This window comes from Homo sapiens, chromosome 2, assembly GCF_000001405.40.
Source record: "Homo sapiens chromosome 2, GRCh38.p14 Primary Assembly".
Classification (NCBI taxonomy): domain Eukaryota; kingdom Metazoa; phylum Chordata; class Mammalia; order Primates; family Hominidae; genus Homo; species Homo sapiens.
Window position 1 is genome coordinate 140,244,239 of NC_000002.12, and position 16,637 is coordinate 140,260,875.

General features: G+C 32.5%; 1 protein-coding gene across 3 annotated transcripts in view; it reads right to left on the reverse strand.

Moving 5' to 3' along the window:
* The window catches only part of LRP1B (LDL receptor related protein 1B), a 1,899,594-nt gene that overhangs the window by 12,816 nt on the left and 1,870,141 nt on the right, over positions 1–16,637 (reverse strand). For all 3 annotated transcript variants that reach the window (NM_018557.3, XM_017004341.2, XM_017004342.1), the window contains one exon: positions 2,848–2,924. In NM_018557.3, the coding sequence (NP_061027.2) occupies positions 2,848–2,924 (77 nt within the window). The remainder of the gene's footprint in view (positions 1–2,847; positions 2,925–16,637) is intronic.

A 16,637-nucleotide genomic window follows, 5' to 3' on the forward strand; every position in this document is an offset into this window, starting at 1 on the left:
TAACCAGTTTTTTTCTGTATTAAAACATAATGGATGATACAAAATGATAAAGACAAAGTAGCAAAAGAGATACAATGACCCCCTAACAGATATCTTGCCCCTATTGTCACTATAGTAAAATACAGCATCTCTACATTACTGCACCACCAATGCTGAGTATATTTTTGTCTTTCATAATTTCAGCGGATACAACAAATAACATAATTGAAACACTGATCATTCAATGCTCAATTTTATGTAAATTTTAAAATTTTATGTAAATTTAAAATAGAAGTATGCAATGAATATTTTATTATGCTGAGTTTAAAACTCTTCAAAATATCTTCAGAAGAGTCAGACTAGATTTTTAAAATGGAACCTGAGCACAAAGCCCTAGATAATAGATCTGCCTAATTCCACAAGCTGCTTTTAGATACTTTAAACATCAAAAGCCGGTGAACATCACTACCACTATTCAGAGATGATTATGAAGGCCATGTACAAATCAGAAAAGTAAATCTCTGTATAAATTGATAGTAATTAGGCAGACAGAGGCAGTGTATTCTGGACTATGCCAACAGAGGTCCACTGATGATAGAAATGCAGATTTGAAAACACATTCCTAAAGTTTCATCGTTCTTATTGGGCAGACGACTTCTGCTCAAGTTTGGGGAAGGTTTGACAATCATTCAAAACCACTAGATTTTACCCAAAATAATAAAAGTAATCCTCTTTCATGGGAAAGGTCAGTTTAACTACCTTTTCCCTTCTTTCAGAGCTACTGAGGCAAGTTTCTCGAAGCATAAATGTCTGATAATAAGCATCTAATAGAGTCATTATTTGGTCAACTTTGATCAAGTTTGTGATAATTTGACATATATGTAGCTAATAGCCCTTTCAAAATGCATTGATAGTTCTATTAAATTTCATGACTTTAAATTAGTGATGGGAGAAAGAGCTTCAGAATCATTGGAAAGGGTTACAACTATTTGCAACTCTTTCCCCTATTTGATGTTCTTTACTTTAGAACTGTTGCATGTAATTAAAACCAGTTTCTTACATTTGCCCATACAAATCGTTGGAGACCCCACTCTCTAACGGGAACACCTGGAGCATTCCAGCTCCAAACCATTTTCCAAACACCAAACTTTCCCTTTGTGGATGGAGCGTATACAAAATTTCCAAATTTCATACACAGTCTATGCTATTTCTTGTCAGAGTTTTAAAAAATTTTTTAAATTGTTTTTGATGCTCTAAAAAGGCTGTTTTCTTTATATTCGATCATTGAGAAACTACCATTAAAAAGGCTAAAATATCTTTTTAATTCCTAATTTATAAATGGAGCATGTTCTACAGCTTGATAACTTCAAATGCATTTTTTTATTAATGCTTTTAACGATTGTTGAGTTTTGCAAATAGTTTATAAAATCATATATAAATTAATATGCCTCCAGAGTTATTACTGGTAGCATTAGTTTGAGCCCTAAATCTTGGGAAGAGAGATAAAGTATTTTTTCTTTTTCTTTTGCATATCAAATTAGGCAAGACACATTTTGCCACTGTTAACCTTTTATCAACCAATTCCCCAAATCCCAGTGTCCTATTCCTACAATTATATGCTCATAGCTTCCCTATGGCCTCACCCTTCCCTGACCTAAGGAGAGCACACAAATTCTAAGATCAACTCAAAATGTTCCATAACCAAAAATCACTCACCTCACCTATCCAAATTTAAATATTCATGCCCAGACTGTCTATTCTAGACCTATTTTCCATTTTTCAAAGATGCCTAGGCTTATTAATAAACCCAAATTAATCTCTAAATTAGGAAAAATTGGACAATGATATCGAAACTGTCTGGGGGCAGAGACAACAAACAGGAATGTCAGCAGAGATGGGAAGCCTGCTTCTAGGGTACAAAAATGTTATATTTTATACTTTAATAGTCTCTCTCCTTTTTCACTAACTCTGAAACACTATGCTTTTTGCTTGTTTTTATGAAATCCTTGTCACCAGCAGTAAAGGACTAGGGAAAAATTGCTAAGGTAAGCAATCTTCCATCAAGGATGTTATTTTTTCTTTGCAAGTTTATTTACACCCAATAGACAATACAAATTTTTCAAAGGTTTTTCACTCATGGTCAAATTAATGACAACATGTGTGAACTGGCAAACTTTATTTCAGACTTTTATTTTGAAAAACTTTATAACATCATTTCAGGTTGTCAGAAACTGTACACAGACACACAACGATGATATAGACCCACAACGATGATATAGACACAAGTGACCCTAAGACTATGGCTGCACAAAAAAAAATTTGCAAAAATGTTGATCTATATTTTAATATACTTCAAAACCAATACTTTAAAGATAAAGAAGCAATAAATCAACTTATATCTTTATTAAGAATTGCTTGTTAACTTGCTTCTCTTTCAGACTAACCAATAAAGTCTGTCTTTCTCCCCCCAAGACACATTGAAATGCATTCCAAGACAATACACTTTGCTCTAATTAAAACATGGAATTATTTTTCTTCCTGGAGCATTTTCACATCCATTGTGATATCTGCGACTTTTTCAGCTGATGAATATTTCCAAAGAAAAGCTTATGCTAGGTTAGCAGATGTGCATTCTGAAAACTCCCCAAATTTGGGATAAACTCTCCCAGCCTAAAAGAAAATGTACACACTGGATCCTGTAATTAGATGAAAGCTCAGTGCTTCCTCTTTCAAAAACACCTCAATTGCAGTGGATCTCTTATAAAATTCCATGAAGAAAGTGTTCTAAGACTCATCTCACTCAATAATGACATAACAATGATTTATATACAGTGTAGATTACCCAAAATATTAATCTGAGAAACTTACTTGTGCTGATATGATCAGACTTGCTGCTCTTTGGGGCTGGCCTTTCACACTGTGTGCCTGACCAGTTGGTGGAGCATCTAAAAATATCCAAACAACAAACAAAACAGATCAGCGAATAACAAAGCCCAGAAGTCAGCTAATGTAGTAACTTTAACCAAATGAAAGGTTACAGGAGCCAGTCATCACAAATTCATAAATATTACATAGAGATTTCTGATGATCTCTTGCATATTGTTAGTATGCTGAGTGTAACTTTCATTGGACTTCCTTTGTTAAAATACTTTTTAAAATGTAGATTTATAGACATTTTACTTATTCTGTGTTAAAATTGGCACATTTTATAGCGATATTGAAATCTTGATTAAGAATTGGAAATTGATTTGAGAGTTATGGAAAATTACAAGTGGCCACTTACAAAAATTGAGTTTGCATATTAAGCAAATCCTTCTGTAAGTATCTGTGTCTTTTTCTGGTTGTTCTAAGTCCAGAGTGGAACTAACTACCAAACAGCAAATAGTCATCTGTCTTATAGTTCAAGCTGTGGAGTTTTTACTCTCCTAAGCAGAGATAACAAAATACAGAGCTTTCCCATTTTAAATCATACTTCTATTACTATGAAGTCAAGAGAATGTGCCCAAGTTTTTATTGGGAGAAGTTGTTTTTCCCATGTAAGTACTATAACACTATGATAAGAAGTAAAAGACAAGAATAATAGATCTGATTAAAAGCCATTATTTAAACATAAAGTGCAACTATGAAATTAGCTGGTTGCATAAAAATAAATGCTGGAACAGTTTTAGTTGTGTTTAAACAAGGTCTATTGGCTAACATAAGATGCCTTTGTGCATCTGTCACAGGAAATCCACAGAGAAACAATTTAATTGGCTTCAGTTCGTAGTTAAAATGACTGTCAAATACCACCATATCAAGAATAGTTGTACACAATAAAAAAACAGCTTCCAGAGCCATTCCAAGTGGAACTCTGGGCATGGTGGGCCAAACTAAATAACTGCAATTTCAGTGTCTCTGCCAATTCGGGCATAGCCAATTTTGATATCTGAGGCTGCTTCCTGAGCTAAGCTTCTACGATGCTATACGAATTATTTGTGATAGTCGTAAAATCAGTATTGGCTGTCCTAAAACATGGGCAAATTCTCATAAAATCATTATTACTGACAAAGTCAAATAATAAACATGAAAATATGTTTCAAAGAAGCATATATAGACTTGAACACAATTGGCAATAAGGACACTATTAGATAAGAGTTATTTAATTAATAAATGATAAATTTAAAACTATGAATATGGAGCATGATTTAAATGAAAATTAATATCATTATATTATGATTCAGGGCATCACTCATACATTAGCTCAACTTTTGTTACATCATAAAAAGCTAACACATTATATAATTTTCTATACATCATGTTTATTATAAACCATAATACAAGTAAATCATTAACACAGATAAATGCATAAGGCCAAGTCTACGACTCTTGTCTGTATTAATAGAGTTAGGTAATGAAATAGGGATATTTTCAAATCATTAGAATAAAGTGAACAACAAATAAAATCATTGTGTTTGTTTTTTCTTTTTAATTTGTGGTATTTGCAGATGAATGATCTAGAAAAATGTTCCAATTCTTCACATATTGTAATCATTGACACAGTCCACGGGTAGTTCAAAATAATATATTTGGGAACATTTTGCAAACATGTTCTTGGAGTGAATTCTAATGATTGTGAAATGCTTTTTGTGTTATGTAGCTTTACATCTGCCAAATTTTTCTAATTTACCCCCGAGAATATGTCATATGCTCCACTGAAAAACTAATCCTGACTGCTTAGTTATTTCATTATGTATTAATAGCTGTTGTGTACAAGTCTACATGTGTGCAATTATTTTGAATTATTGATTAAAATATCAAAATTTGCTTTATACATTATCTCATTTAAAAGAAAAAAAAAACTAAATCAGGTTCATCTTAGATAAGTGACCCAAGGCATATTTTATTGTGTTACTGAAAAAAGAACCTCTGGGACTCATTATTACACTTTCGGAAAAGATTTGAAGTCAGAAAGTGGAATTGCTTGAGAATTAGAAGATTAAATGCTACTTAATCATATTATGGTTCTGACATGAACATCATGTATTTTTAATAATTTATAAAGTAATTATATTTTGAGATCTCCAGATTAGCAGAAAGAGATTTTTAAATGAAGAAGATAAGGATAGTGGGATTCTAATTCCAAACTCTAGAATTATTTAAGTAGGACAGGTATTTGTTAATATTATGGTATAATTTCCTAATTTATCCATGGCTTAGGGTCCAGTATTTATGATAGATAAAAGAAGTCACCTGCTAGTGGTCATAATCCTCTCCTCTTTTAAATTGTGGGAGCCCATTTAAATTCATAATCTTTACAGACTATTTTACTTATTATATATTGGAAAAAACTCAAAGACTGTACTGGAGAAATAATTTTAACAGTTATACATCTTAATGTGCTGATGATCACTTTACCATTCTCCTTATACTCCTTATAAAATAATGTTTTATGGCCAAAGATAAAATATGTTCCACTGTTCTGCATTTGTCTTGGTCTTAAAACATCTCTTTTGAGTTATTAAATAGAAATCATTATTCTTGTTTGCCTACCTTACAAAATTATAACTTAAGGCATTTGCTGCTCCACAAGTTCTTCCAGTGGTTGATTTAAGACCAGGTATTTTTGTCATCTTTATAGCAATGCATAAATCTTCATACTTTAAGTAGACTACAATGATCAAAGCCATTAATGGCAGAGCATTTAAGAAATAAAATTTGTGCAGATCATCAAAATCTCCTGTCCAATTCCCCGCTGAATTATTTGCATAACCATGCTGACTATAATTTCTCTGGCATCTATCTCTTTTTTATTATTCCTCAAGCAAAATCCATATTCCATGTGCTGGTCATCTTTAATCTGTACTATTGCAATCCACTATTCTCTGCTATTCATCCGGGGACAATTATCTTCAAGTTAGCCCTGCACAACCCTGCTAGGCAATCTTTTCTTGTTTTTGTTTTGTTTTGTCTCACCGTAGCAAACAGCTCTGTATCATTCATGTTAAAATTGCAGACGTTTCCCACTGCCCTTAGTCTTAGGACCATAAAAATCAGCTTTATCTTATGTGCTGATTACTATACAACTGTAAATTATTTAACGTTTTAAACAATTCCATGAATTTTAACCAAGTATCATTGGATCAGGAACAGATGGATGGATAGACAGATAGACAGGTAGGTAGGTAGATAAACAGATACTTATTGACTATTCAAATAATTATTTATCCTTCTTTATTTACATCATCAAATGAAGGTACTGCTCTTAGCAGTTTCCTGCTGTCAATAGCTGCATGGTAAAGGGTATTGATTTAACATTCTTTGACTTCTTTTTTTTTTTCCTAGCATTATTTAATGCTAAATTGTTTCCTTAATCTTATTCTTCCATTTCCATAACAGTTGTATGTATAAGTGCTCTTAATTACAGCACATTTTATGGTATTCCCTTTATGTTCCAGACTAGAATAATGATTATGAAAAATGAGAAATGTTAAAATTCAGATTCTGGGGCCCCATATATCAGAGAATTCAAGTAACTTGGGATTGTGGTCAGCATTCTTCATTTCAACAAGGTGAATCTGATGTAAATAATTCACAAGTCACACTTCAAGAAATATTCGAGATACATTGTTATTATTATATTCTTACAGGCTTTGTTCTTATAACAAATATCATTCAATGTCTTATTGTGAGGATGAGAATAATAATATACAAGCCCAGCATGATCGCTCAAAAGATAAAATAAGCTACGTAGAAGTTCCCTACACAATACCTGGAGTATGCTTATTTATTTATTTATTTTTTGTAATTAATTCTCATCTGAATGTTACTGCATGAAACACATGGTGAGTTAATTTATCGTCTCCCTGAGCAGTTTGTGCAGTTATTGTATAGCTATAATGTTTTGTTTCAATTATAATTTTCTGTAGCATAGGGGAATAACTTCGTATAAAAGCTAGAGTGTACAAATATTACTAGGAAGCACAGTAAGCGCTTTTAGAATATCAAAATAAGTTTGGCTTTTATAAGGGGACAAACTATAATCTTTAAAATGAAAGTTATTACATTTAGTAGCATAACTGTAAGACATATAAACCGTCTAAAATAATAACTCTGAAATAGTAATTATTACAAAGAGAATTAAAATGAGATATAAAAAACTGAAGGTATATTAAAATCTTCAGATATTGTCCTTCCCGTAACAATGATCAATGTATATGAACTGCTCTTGTCATTTTGCAGAAATGTGGTCTAGAGTCACCCACTTTGGGAGGACTTCAAAATAAAATAATGAGATTAATATCTGCTCTTTCTTTTCATCAAATTTAAAGGTCATGGGATTCTTCTGACCACAGTGAAATTCAAAGGTGAACCTTAAAGCAATTTAAAATTGAATTTATCCTCTTATACGTATGTGCAAGGTTGCCCTTATTAACCATGATGATGGAGGCATTCAGAAAGAAAAATCTTTTAATATACCCCTTTCTTTCTCTACACAGGAAAAAAATAAGTGGCACAAAGGGATTAAAGAAGCCTTGGAAAAATTGTGCATGGTGTCATGCATGTCTCAGTGCCCTTAAAATCTCATTCAATAAAAATAAAAGTATATGATTACAGGTTATGCATCAGTTTATGCAAAAGGATTTTGCATAATGGTGAAGAAAATCAGTATAGTGAAGAAAATCAGAAAAACACAAAGTTACTTGCAAAATACTTTTTTTCTGGTTAACTCATCAAATTACACTCTTTTGGTGGTGAGCATATAAAACTACATTTATATAATATTTCTCACTTGAAAGGTCTACACTCCATGTATCCCCTGAGTCTTTTATACTCACTTCCCTTGCAGATAGTAGCATGACAAGATGCAAAAAAAAAAAAAAAAAAAAAAAAAAACCCAAAAAACAAAAAAAAACAGAAAAAAAACCTAGCATTTTGGGACAGATACTTAGATATTTATTCATCTGCTTAATTTTACTTTAAAGCCTTTCCATCTGTTATTTTTTTGTAACAATAGATAAAATTAGGTAATTTTAAAAGTCTTAGATGAAATTATTTCATGTGTACATAAGGATTCCTAATTTTTATAACATGCTTCAAAAATTTTCTATCTCAACTTTTACATGAAATGTTACATGAGGTTCAGTTAACACTAAACTTTGTGCTAGATCCTAGTATAGGTACTTTCATATAAAAATGTACTCATATCTAACTTCTATAAGAATCCTATGAGTAGGCATTATACACTGTATAAAACGAGGACGCACATGTTCAAATAATCTGCCCACAGAAGCGGAACTAATAAGTGGTAGAAATAAAATATGGCACTATTATTTAATCATTGTTTTAGATGACAATGCCATGATCCTTTTAATTCAATACAGAAGTAGGAAGAAATGCTTTTCCTTTCTTTCTCATGCCCAGGAGAGTACCAGGCTCTAATTTAAATGTAAAAATATTATTTAAACAAATGCAAATAAATGCAATTTTTTTCCGTTGTAAAAGTGTAAGAATTATCACACTGCCTTGGACCTGTGGTCAGCTGTGCCCAATAATCTGTCCCTGTCTGCGACAGTGAGGGACATATTAATCTTCTTGAAATCAACATCACATTTGTGGTGTTCCAAAATACTGTAGATGTATCTAATATATCTTTAAAGATCTATCATTTATAAATTCATCTAAAATGTATAAACAAATATACCCTTATGTCTCAATTCATACAATTTTGAACGTCTACAGCAAGTTACCATATATTTCATTCATTTGGTATTTTTCAATAAATACTTTGGTACTATAATTTCTATTTATTCAATACTGTTCTCAATCCAAATTTGACTGTTAATGTTTTCTATGAGAATAGCTAGGTGTTACTTTGCATTCTTTATTCAGATAGCTTAAAGTAGCATCTTAAATTTATGTCTGTTGTAATAAATTTACTTGATTCAACTCTATAATACACTAAAATGCCTAGTTTTAAACTATGACAGTAAACATTTGTTAACTAATACTGATAAGATCAGTAAGTCAAAACTAAATTGTAATACTGAGAAAATTTGATCAGAAAGAGTTTTTGATTTCTGAGAAGTGTTAATGTGGTAAAGTAAAAAGAGAAATGACATATTCAATAAAGTGTTTATTGAACTAATTAATTTAGGAAACGGTAAAAATTAATGAGAAGTTTCTATTGAAGAGGTGGCCATGAAAGAAATAAAATTAATAAAATGGATTATTTAAAGTAATTTTTAAGAATGGAGGAGAAACATAAAAGAAGATAAAATTTAGTTTACCAACAAATGATTCATAAAAGGAAGTTTGTTAAGTTTGAGTGATTTAAGTTAGAAATGTTTAAACATAAAATGTTGTGCAGTCCACTTGAGTAGAAGTGGTCACTGAAGTGTTAAACGATGACTAAATATATATTTAAAAAATATGTCCAGAGATGGAAAATGTTTATCATCTAGATAGTCCAGAGAAAATTTTACTGAAAGCTGATGAGGAAGATACAGGTATTTTTCTGAGTGAGAAGACAATTTCTATTTAACTGAATACATTACATGCATCAACTGAAAAGGAAAACGAACTATCATAAAATTAATATTAAGTAATATGGTGGATGTAATTGAAGACATAAAAGTAGGCCATTACATTAGACACACTGGTTACAATTCTAGAGCTAAAGGTGGGAAGAAAAGTGGAATGTGTGCTGCAATACTAGTGGAAAGCTCCCAAGATGAAGGCCAGTTCCAAAATTGGTTTAAAAATACAAAGCCATGGGGGGAAATCTCAATGCTTAGTGCCATACAGATAAGGTAGCTAGCTTGCTACCTAAATATCTTATGTTTTAGCTCAAAGTGAGAGTAAACAATAAAGATTTCTTCTACAAAAACCCAACAAAGGCCCTTCCTATTTCTTAGGGTCTCAGAGGTACAGGGTTATGAGACTTGAAATTATAAAGGCGATGTCTGGCATATTCAACTGCAGGTTAATAACTGCACTTTAAAATAAAGCAGTTTAATAACTGCTTTAATAAAAGCACTATTCGACATATATTTATTCTATACAAATTTAGGGCAATAGTAGCATATCAGGAGGTGTTATTACAAGGTTTTGAGTATGTGAATGTCTTAATTAGTGCAAAATGTAACTCTGATTCTCTGAAAATATTCAATTCACTTTCAGTTCCAATGCTCATGTGCTGAAATACTGATGTTAGCTACTTGAATATTTTAAAGTCTGAAACATTGGGAAATGAATAAGACATACAAACGGTGATCAGATATCTGGTACTTCAGCATAGTCCTTGTTCTAGTTCCAAGATTTCTTTTTTTGTTTTTTGTTTGTTTGTTTGTTTTGTTTGTTTGTTTTGTTTTGTTTTGAGATGGAGTCTTGCTCTGTTGCCCAGGCTGGAGTTCAGTGGTATGATCTCGGCTCACTGCAACCTCCACCTTCTGGGTTCAAGCAATTCTCCTGCCTCAGCTCCCTGAGTATCAGGGATTACAGGCACTTGCCACCACACCCGGCTGATGTTTGTAATTTTAGTAGAGGTGGGGTTTCACCATGTTGGTCAGGCTGGTCTCAAACTCCTGACCTCGTGATCCTCCCGCCTTGGCCTCTGAAAGTGCTGGGATTACAGGAGTGAGCCACCCCACCGTGCCTGGCCCCAAGATTTCTTAATGATTTCTACATAGCGACCAAAATGCAACACCAAAGCTTTCTTGGGACGTTGTGTTAGTGTAAATTTCAACTAACCATTTACTAGCATTTAGCTTTCTTCAAAATCTAGAAACTACACTCTCAAAATATGTTTAAAATTTGTAATTGTTTAAAAATAATGCAATCAAAAATTGAAATAAACTGAGATAAAATGAGAAAGATTTGTTTAAATCAAGCTTCAGTATGAATTAACAAATTTGTCTATCTTACATAAATGTTAATTAGTCATAAAACTCTTACCAGATTTGTTTAACATTTATAGGAAGATGTTGCAGACAGAAATTTCTGAAAGCTTATGACAAAATTACCCATTCACACACATTTCTTTCCTAATCCCAGTGTTAGATTACTTTTCCTAGACCCAAAGTGAGAAGGTTTAAGCAGACAATGCCCAAAAAATTGATTCAGGAGGTAGAGACAAATGTCTTCACTAAATCTAAAATGCTATAAAATATTACAGTAGTATTTTACATTACAGAGAATACTACTATTTGGGGTGAGTCATAAATATCTTTACATATTTGATCACTGTACAACACAAATATACTATATTTTTTATTTCTCTACTTATATATGCATTCATAAATATCTAAAGGCACCTTTGCCTATGACTATGCTAGACTATGATTTAACTAAAGGCAGAGATTATTGATTATTCATCTTTGTCTTCCCTCATTTCTTGAACAGTATCCAGTAAATACTCAATAGATATATTTTGCTGATCAGTGTACTTGCTGTTTGACAAATGAATAGATGAATGCATGAAAACATGGAAGAGGCATAGTTGAATACATAGGAATGCACATACATATACAGAGGTCTCATATATGTGTGCATTCCCTATTCTGCAAAGAATGTATAGCATCATTCATAAGAACATGCTTTCACCTAATTATCAATCAGTCATTTCTCACTGAAAGGAACATTAATCCACTATGGGAAACTTTTTACATATAAGACCAGAGAAAATAAGTTGTTAAATTTTATTCCTTCTTTCTTTCATTCACTTATTCTTTAATTCATTAATTCTTCCATTTCTAAATGAGATGATTACATTCTAGTACTTGGGCGTATGTAAATTGTGTATCATTCAGTTCTTGTCCCAGGATAACAAAAATTTAATTACAGAGGTATTTGCTTGATGGATACTTTAATGTGAAAAACAATTTTATGTAAAAAACAAATATACAATTAAATGTAATTTAATTCCATCAATTCACTTAAATAAATGATTATTTTAAATTTAAGTGCTAGTATGGATGACACAAATACCGTATGCAAGTTTTGGAATTAGCCAGGCCTGGGTTGAAATCTAGGCTCCTCTCCTTACAAAGATTATCTTCAAGCAAGTCACCTCGTTTCAGATTACTCATTTCTCATAACAAGGGAGAGTAATACTTCCTGTGTGCATCACACATTGCACTCAGATCTAGCCTCTTACGTTTTAACCTTAGTCTCCCCCTTAAATCTCTCTTCTTTTACAGTTTTAATTTTTCTATTTTGTATGGTTTTATGGTTTTCTTTTCTCTTTTTTCCTTCCTTTTTTTTTTTTTTTTTTTTTTTTTTTTTTTTTTTTTTAAGACAGAGTCTTGCTTTGTCGTCAGGCTGGAGTGCAGTGGCGCGATCTCAGCTCACTGCAACCTCTGCCTCCCAGGTTCAAGCAATTCTCCTGCCTCAGACTCCTGAGTAGCTGGGACTACAGGCGTGCACCACCAAGCCCGGCTAATTTTTGTATTCTTAGTAGAGATGGGGTTTCAGCATGTTGGCTAGGATGGTCTCAATCTCTTGACCTTGTGATCCGCCTGCCTCAGCTTCCCAAAGTGCTGGGATTACAGGTGTGAGCCACCGCGCCCAACCCTTCTTTTTCTTTTTGTAAGGCAATAAAACTCAGCAAAAAAATTTTTTTGCAGGTTTTTTGAGAGATTAAGAGATAAAATTTACATAAAATTTGTATCATCTGAGTTAGTTTAACTCGGCTGATAAATAATATTATGAATATTAAATTTAAAAAGTGTATATGGCATACCAATATCAATATAATTATAATGTCTGATTTTATTCCCAACAGAAAAAAATAGGCTTAAGTTTTTCTACTCCTTTAACATGATGGCTTTTTCTGCTACCATCCTAATATGATGATAATATCAGCAATTATTAATCTATTTTTTATTCTTAAGCAAATTTTGCTGGTAAGCATATGAGTCTAATTCTTGTCTAGGAATTGTATAAAGTTAATTTGGGATCAAGTGCTAGGTTGAAGTTTAATTAATCTAGTTTTATTGACTTGTTTAAGCACAGAACATGAGCATAAAATAAACCTTTGTTGTTATAAACATCTGAAATATGAGGTGGTTTATAGCAGTACAATCTAAGAAAAGAGGTCTAATAAAGACAAAATAAATGGATAAACAGTTAAGAGTTATACAAATAATATATAATGTATTGGGTTTGGTTTATTTGGTTATTCTTACCTAGTGATTATATTTAAGACCAAGAATATGTCCCAAAATCAAGGGAAAATAACATGATTACATCAGAGCTGCTTGATAATAGCTGCCCAATACACAACTACGTAATTGTTCTTTATTAAGCAGTGCCACTTGTACCTCGAAGCACAAACTAGAGTTTAAACTTGGACAGAAAAATATGATATGTGTTCCTTTTGTTCCCCGTGGCATGACTGGCATGGTGAAAGCTAAAGTAACCTACGACCTCTTACCTAGAATCATAAAGGATAGACATTGATGTGACAGTTTTTCTCGGACTTTACTGCTCCAAAAGACATGCACATTTCAGATTTTGTTCTTTGAAAATATAACAAGGGGGAGAAAGCAAATCAGGGACATACAATGTCCTGACTTTTGAAATGTGGACAACACTGGATGCTGAAGTTGAATTGCTCAATATCCCTGCCGAAAAGTTGTGGTCTGTTTGAAATCACTCATGACAACTTCCTTAGGCTCTTCTTAAGCATTCTCTAAGGGACCACAAGGTCACTGGTCCATGTGGAGGAGTGCTGCTCAGCCTGACAGCAGGACCAGTGAAGAGCAAATTGTGCAGCCAGCCTCCTTTCTACAAGGCCAATGTTTTGAGGAACCAAAGCCATAATTAGCCATCACAATGTAGAGGAATAATTCCTACCTTTCTAAACCTTGTGACAGAAACAGAACTCATTATCTTCCTCCCAAACGTGTTGCAACAAAGGCTTCTCCAATACCTGTGCATTTTCTTATGTATTACTCACCCTAAGGACTTGGAAAATAATGCTGAACACTTAATAAAATAATTAGATTGGAACAATCACAAAACTGAAGAATATGACAAAGTGCTTAACTCAGATCACTCTCTAAATGAATGTCCCTGTGGTACTTACATATTCACCTTGAATCCTTCTGCCTTAAAAAAAAAAAATCCACCCTAAAAATGTTTATAAGATCTACTTCCTGCCCATGTTTTCTAAGGTAATTGAGGGAGGACACCCTAAATAGAACTTGAGCTGGCTTTACATATTGTAGCCCCCTTCCCAGTCGCTATTACTGTCACTGTCATTGCACTACTAACCTTTCGTTTATGCCAAAATTTACCTAATTTTCAATAACAAGCACTTTTTAAAAATACTCTTTTTTATTGTTGGACCCCTAGAAGTTCAAATTATAGCAAGTTCTGATTATTGTGTTTCTCGTCTATTGCAATGGCTTTAAAATTTTCATTTTCTGGGTTTACTATGTTGAAGACAATATTCTGTGTTCTTTATATATATTACATTTTTAATCCTCAAAACAATCTAAAGAGACAGATGTCATTAGCAATTTCCGTATTAAGATGAGAAAAGAGGTTCAGAGAAGAACAATTGAGCAAACAAAACAATGTGGAGTCCTGACAGCGTAGACGGTCCTCTATACTGTTTTTTGTGCCTTGTTTACCATTAAACCCACTAACCATTTTTTAATTGAAAAATCTTTGTCTTCCTTTACATTGCAAATTAGAAGTCATTAAGAAATCTATTTTTTCAAACCTATGGGAACTTTTTCTATCAGATGACTATGTCATTAAGACTTTTCTAAGACATACATATAGCTGTGACACTTCATATTTCAAATGTTATCAGTGTTCCCCTACTGCTATAGAATGAATTTCAAACTCTAGCTAAGCATACCATATTCCTGAGAATTATTTCATGGTCTAATGTTATTGTCAAATACTATTTCACCAGCACCATTTATCTTACACCACTCAAATGCCTGAAGCACAGGCTGTATTTCTCCTTGCCTCATCTTTTTCCTTAAATAGACTCAGAGGCTTCAAAGGACGGGGGATATACCTGACTTTCCTCTTATTCTCCATCTATTTTTGAGAGACAATCACAAAGTAAAAACATACAACAAACAAAAGGCAAAGAGAAGAGAAAATGAAATAAATCAAGTTTTTCTAGTAAGTTAAGACGGTGTATTAAGCCTGTCTAGTTCTTGACTTACAGATATTTAGTGTGAGTTCCAGAAAACTCAAGAAACATCATATAACAGTTTTAGAAAGTATCATAGAGATGAGAAAGCCGATTGAGAATCATAGTAAAATAAATCATTTTTCTATTATTTTCTGACTCTCCATTCTTTGAAAATTTATTAATGAAGGAAGATGTGCTGTTATAATTATGATAGAATGATAAGTGTATCATAAGCTGCCGTACTCCATAATACAATACAGGAACTAACACAGTAATGATTTAACAATATTCATTAAGAACATATTACATGGAGAATACATGCGACCCATTGGGGTAAAATACATAAATCAGACATAACCTCTTATTTGAAGAAATTTACAACCTGCTGGAGAGAAACAGACATATAAATTTAAAGAAGCCATGGGAATAGAACAGGCAGCATTCCCAGGCCAATTTCATAAAAATGTTTCATGTCCAAAGGCCATACACAGAGGGAGAGGTCAATTGTAGCCATGAAATATGGAATATCATAGAGTAATGTGATAAATGTAAAAACCAATATGCCCTGCCCCCACACACACAGATGATGAAGGAAAGGAGATGATTTTATGAAGAACCATTTTCCCCAAAAAGATAAACAAAAAACAGATGCCCATATAAATCTAAACAAAAATAAATAAATAAAAGATGCAGGCAAAATGCTCACAGCAAGTTATTTTTAGTGTTTGTTTCGAATGAAGAAGTAAAACATAAAAACTAACATTGCTATCTTGTTTGTGACCACATGGAGAATTGTTCTTGCTATGGGCAAGAAGCAATAATATATATTATAAGGAGTGTCCTGGAGTTTTGCCATCCTGCCATTTCAAAAACACTGAGTGTCTGAACTGATGTGATTTCAGAAGCAATGTAATATTAAAGTTAGGTCTTTTGAGTTTTCCCTTTTCTGACATTTCAAATAATTTTAAAATGTTGTATTTTCTTCTGTTTTTAAAAGAGAATAGTATTTAAAAATTATCTGTACAAATTAAACATTACCCAAATTCCAGCAATAAGAGATGTCATTGTTACCATTTTGTTGTACTGCCTTTAATACTTTTCTCTGTGTATGTACATGTGTATTATATATAGATATATACACATTTGTCATTATATATGTGTATATATTAATATATGTATATGCGTGCATATATACCTTTTATAAGATTGGGTCATATGCTTTATATATATTACATTAGCCACAACTTTGTGGCAACTATTCCTAATTTTGTATTTATTGTTTTTTTATTTGTTTCTGGGATGAAAATCCCTTTCCCTATATAGCCAGATGGCCCATTCCCACATTTACTTAAGGTCTTTACGCAAATACCATCATCTCAGGAAGGCTTTCACTGGCAATACTAATATCAGATTTCAAATCTCCCCTCAAAATTCCATATCCCTCTTTTCTGCTCTGGTTTTCTCTTAACAGCTTTTAACATTTTTAACATACTTAATAATGTCGTAAACATTTATTTTCTTT